This window comes from Homo sapiens, chromosome 7 (genome assembly GCF_000001405.40).
Source record: "Homo sapiens chromosome 7, GRCh38.p14 Primary Assembly".
NCBI lineage: Eukaryota > Metazoa > Chordata > Mammalia > Primates > Hominidae > Homo > Homo sapiens.
The window spans coordinates 73,975,580-73,980,261 of NC_000007.14; the positions used below are offsets into that span (position 1 = coordinate 73,975,580).

Here is a 4,682-nt window from a genome sequence, read left to right on the forward strand (position 1 = left end):
ATGGCACTCTTTCTGCTGCACGCTGAGGGGGAGTGTGTGCATGTGTGTGCATGCACATGTGCATATGTGTATATGTGTGCATGTGTGTATATGTCTGTATGCATATATACATGTGTGTATGCGTGTATATGTCTATATGCACATGTGTCTGTGTGTGTGCATGTGTGTATATGTCTATATGGATGTGTGCATATGAGCATAAGTGTGCATGTGTGTATATGTCTATATGCACGTCTGCATGTGTGTGTGTACCTGTGCATATTAGGGTTTACAGGAGGCTCATTCCACCCCAGAACCTGCCGATGAGACCTTCCCAGGACAGCTAAGGACACAGGTGGGAAGTGTTCTGCTGTCCTGTGCAGGAAGGGGCTGAATTCTCAGGGTATCCCCAGCCCTCCTGAGAACTGCAGCCCAGGCTGGACTTCCAGGCCAGCTCTCCTCTGCGCAGGTGTATGCCCTGAGCCAAGTCCCCATCTTGCTGGGTCTCAGTTTCCCCTGGGGTGAAAGGGAAGTTGTATTGAACCCGGCCTTATAGCTTTGGACTTGGAAAGGCTGTGCCAGGCCCTGGCTGCAGTTCTAGGGCCTGTCTGTCCCTCCCTCCTTCAGCTATGGTTGCTGATCTTCAGGGCTCTTCCCAGACCAAAAGAAAAAGAAAAAAAACACATCTGTACAGATACATGCAAAATTCAGTAAGTTCCCCAAAGTCCCTCTGTGAATCTTCTAGTTAAAAACCTGCTTTATGGGCCAGGCGCAGTGGCTCACGCCTGTAGTCCCAGCACTTTGGGAGGTCGAGGCAGGCAGATCACCTGAGCTCAGGAGTTCGAGACCAGCCTGGCCAACATAATGAAACCCTGTCTCTACTACCAATACAAAACTTAGCGAGGTGTAGTGGTGCGTGCCTGTAATCTCAGCTACTTGGGAGGCTGAGGCAGGAGAATCGCTTGAACCTGGGAGATGGAGGCTGCAGTGAGCTGAGATTGCACCACTGCACTCCAGCCTGGGTGACAGAGCAAGACCCTGTCTCAAGAAAATAAAAACAAACCCTGTTTTATGGAGCTGGACAGAAAAGTCCTCAGGAGGCCCAGAACTTTCTGTAGCAAATGCAAAGGGGATGGCACTCACCCTGATATTCCCAGAAACGATCAAGAGACCCAGGGCTGCCCCTCAGGACCATCTCCAGGAAACAAAGTCAAAGGCAGTTCTCAGACAGCCTGAGGCCACGGAGGGGCTGGGTAGTCCTAGCCAGGGAGGGTGATTCGAGGTCGCACGTTGGCCCTGGATGGTTTGATGGAAAAGGAGGGTAGCCCTTCCCAGCTCTAGAAATTCAGGACTGGAGTGGTCATATTGCCGCTGGGCGGTCCTGGGCTGAGGCACCCGCACTGGTCCCCTGGTTGAGGTATAGACCAGAGACCACAGTTGGAAGGGATTCTAACTCTAGGGCCGAGGGGAGGGAGCGCGGGGACTGTGCAGGAGGACGCCTCCACCCCCGCAGTGCGTGTGCAAGATGGCAGGGCTCTGCAGCGCTTTCTCATTCTTTATGGTGTGCTGACAGCCAGGCAGAGCTGCAGAACACTTCCTAAGCCCATCTCTGTCCCTCGGGACTGGAGTTCTAAAGGCTGGCCATGGCGGTCAGATGACTATCCCCTGGGGCTCCCGAAAGCAGGGCCAGAAGGTTTGCAAACTCCTGGAAGACATCGATTCACAGGGCCACCTGCCCAGGGCTCCTCCCTGTGCAGGCGGGGGCTGAATTCCCAGGGTACCCCCAGCCCTGCTCAGAGCTGCAGCCTCTGTACCCCTGTGGCCCCCCAGGGCACCCCACCTTGCACCAGTCCCTGGAATCTGCACACTGGAGAACAGCCCCGGGCCCTCTGGGGCTGGCTGAAGAAAGGGCAGGTGGGACAGTAGTGGCTGAAAAGGGAGAAGTGTTGCCCCAAGGACATGGCACCCAGGACGTGGACATGGGGCAACCATCTCCGGGGCTTTCTGACCCTTTCTAACCCATTTCCACAGATCTGAGCCGGCAGGGGCCTCCCCCGAGAGACCTTCAGAGCCTGGGGTGATCAGGCTGGATTATCCTCTCTCCCTGTTCCCCCCACCTGGCTGCTGCAGACCTGAGAAACTTCCACCTGTCTCATACCAGCTGAGGGTGTCTGAGCAGCTGACATCAACCCCACAGATCTCCTGGACTGTGCTGGAAGGTACAGACAGGCAGGGAGGTTTCCCAATGGGTCAGGAGACCCTGACCCCATAAATCAACTGATCCTCAAGAGACAGGCTGGAGGGAGGGATGGTTCTAGAGAACCTGGCTCCTTGTTCTTCCCTGTGACAAAATCTGGCACCAGGAAGAGTTTAAGTGTGCAGGTGTGTGTGTTCAGGCATGTGTGTGCAGGCGTGCGTGTGCAAATGTGTGTGCAAGTGTGTGTGCAGGCATGCGTGTGCAAGTGTGTGTAGGCATGTGTGTGCAGGTGTGCGTGTGCAGATTGTGTGTGCAGGTGTGCGTTTGCAAGCGTGTGTGTGCAGGCATGTGTGTGCAGGTGTGCGTGTGCAGATTGTGTGTGCAGGTGTGCGTTTGCAAGCGTGTGTGCAGGCATGTGCGTGCAGGTGTACATGTGGAGGCATGTGTGGTCAGGCATGCATGTGCAGGTGTGTGCGTGTGCAGGTGTGCGTGTGCATGAACATGACTGTAAACTGGGTGCCCTTTCCCCTTCAAGCCTGTGGGTCTCAGTCCAGAGTCCACAGACAGCGTTAGAGCCTTGCCTGTGACTCAGAGGCAGGCCTTTCTCAAGCCGCCGTGCCGCCGGGTCGGGGGGAGGTCTGGGCCATGTGGCTACATCTGGGAGTCCAAGTTCAGGGCCAAGGATGGGCAACCAGCCCGTGCTCCCCGGTACACACCCATGTCCAACATCGCTCTCAGATGGCCCACCTTTCAGAGGAAGGAGGACCGGAGTTTGCAGGTCTTGGGAGAGTCCATGAAACACTGATACATACATTTATGTTCTTCCAAATCTGTAACAAAGCACACGAAAGAGAGAGCCTGCATTTCACGCATCTTAAACCACAGCCATGGAGCCCGTGCAGCTCATTCCCATTTATCATCCTTCCTGTGCACTAGAAACGTTCTGCGTCTCCACCAAACCCCCCATCCCCACCCCGCCCCCCAACCTGGCTTCAACCAGACGCTCGTAAATCTGTTTCTCTTGTTCCACACGAGCTGCCTGGGAAAAGGCCCCATTTGCTGCGTCTGCTCCTCCTTCCAAATGCTCGACGCCTTTGAGATTTTATGATTTCGGGTTATTGACTTGGCCTCCTGGGTCCCCCGTGGTAGGCGGCTGTTTGGGAGAGCGGCTGGAGGCTTTGGGTGACCTCAGGTTCACCCCTTGCCTAAACAGCGTTGGGGAGATGGTGCAAAAGACCTGCTGCTGCTGGCGGGTCCCGGGGCCTCATGTGGGAGCTCCTTATGGGGGCACAAACCCTGACCTGGGGCTAGCCTTCTGTGTCCCAACTCAGGCCCTGCACCCCACCCATTCTGAGCTTCTGGGCTCATTTCTCCCCAACTTCCTGAATCTGTGTTGCCAAAACCTCAGCTTCTGCTTCCCTTCCCAGCCTTAGCTCCTCCTCCCACTAAGAGCTCCCAAGGGAAACAGCCATGCGGTTGATGCAGGGCAAGGTGTGCAAAGGTCGTTCACTCCACAGCCAGGCCCCAGCCTCATCTGCGTCATGCTGCATGCTGCCACCAAGTGGCGGGGCTGGTTATTAGCTGGTATGGCCTGGAAGGGTGGTGCAGGTGGTTAAATATGTTGATTGACATTCAGAATGAAGGAACACCTGCCTTTGCCTGGAGGAAGCCCAGTCAAGAGGCAGAAGCAGGCAGGCAATACTAGAGCATTCTAAGTCCAGTGTTCAGGGTCACCGTGGCGCACACCTGTAATCCCAGCTCCTTGGGAGGCCGAGACGGGTGGATTGCCTGAGCTCAGGAGTTTGAGACCAGCCTGGGCAACATGGTGAGACCCCGTTTCTACTAAAAATACAAAAAATTAGCTGGGCATGGTAGTGCTTGTAGTCCCAGCTACGCGGGAGGCTGAGGCAGGAGAATCGCTTGAACCCAGGAGGCGGAGGTTGCGGTGAGCCAGGATCATGCCACTGCACTCAAGCCTGGGCGACAGAGCAAGACTTTGCCTTCAAATTAAATAAATGAATAAATAAATAAATCCAGTGTTCAGTAGTGTTCAGCAGGACTTGGGGCTTGGAGGAACCATCAGCCCTATCCAAGGCTCTTGGGGTGGGAAGAGGGGACAGCTTCTAAGTTAACCCCTGAAGGACCTATAACAAACCCCAAAGGTTGTATAGCAGGCGTGTGGCTCACTTGTAGAAATCCCAGGACTTTGGGAGGCCGAGGCAGGCGGATCACCTGAGGTCGGGAGTTCAAGACCAGCCTGGCCAACATGGTAAAACCTCGTCTCTACTAAAAATACAAAAATTAGCCAGGTGTGGTAGTGACTGCCTATAATCCCAGCTACTCAGAAGGCTGAGACAGGAGGATCGCTTGAACCCAGTACACGGAGGTTGCAGTGAGCCAAGATACCGCGCCACTGCACTCAAGCCTGGGCAACAGAGTGAGACACTGTTTCCAAAAAAAAAAAAAGGTTGTAGTGACAGAAAAGATGGATGATGAGTGGTACTTC

General features: G+C 54.7%; 1 annotated feature.

Moving 5' to 3' along the window:
• Nucleotides 3,540–3,834: an enhancer, noted in NCBI's record as "tiled region #9451; HepG2 Activating DNase unmatched - State 8:EnhW, and K562 Activating DNase unmatched - State 20:ReprD". NCBI's record gives its function as "activates a minimal TATA promoter and a strong SV40 promoter by Sharpr-MPRA in HepG2 and K562 cells {active_cell/tissue: HepG2 | K562}" and the evidence as "EXISTENCE:reporter gene assay evidence [ECO:0000049][PMID:27701403]".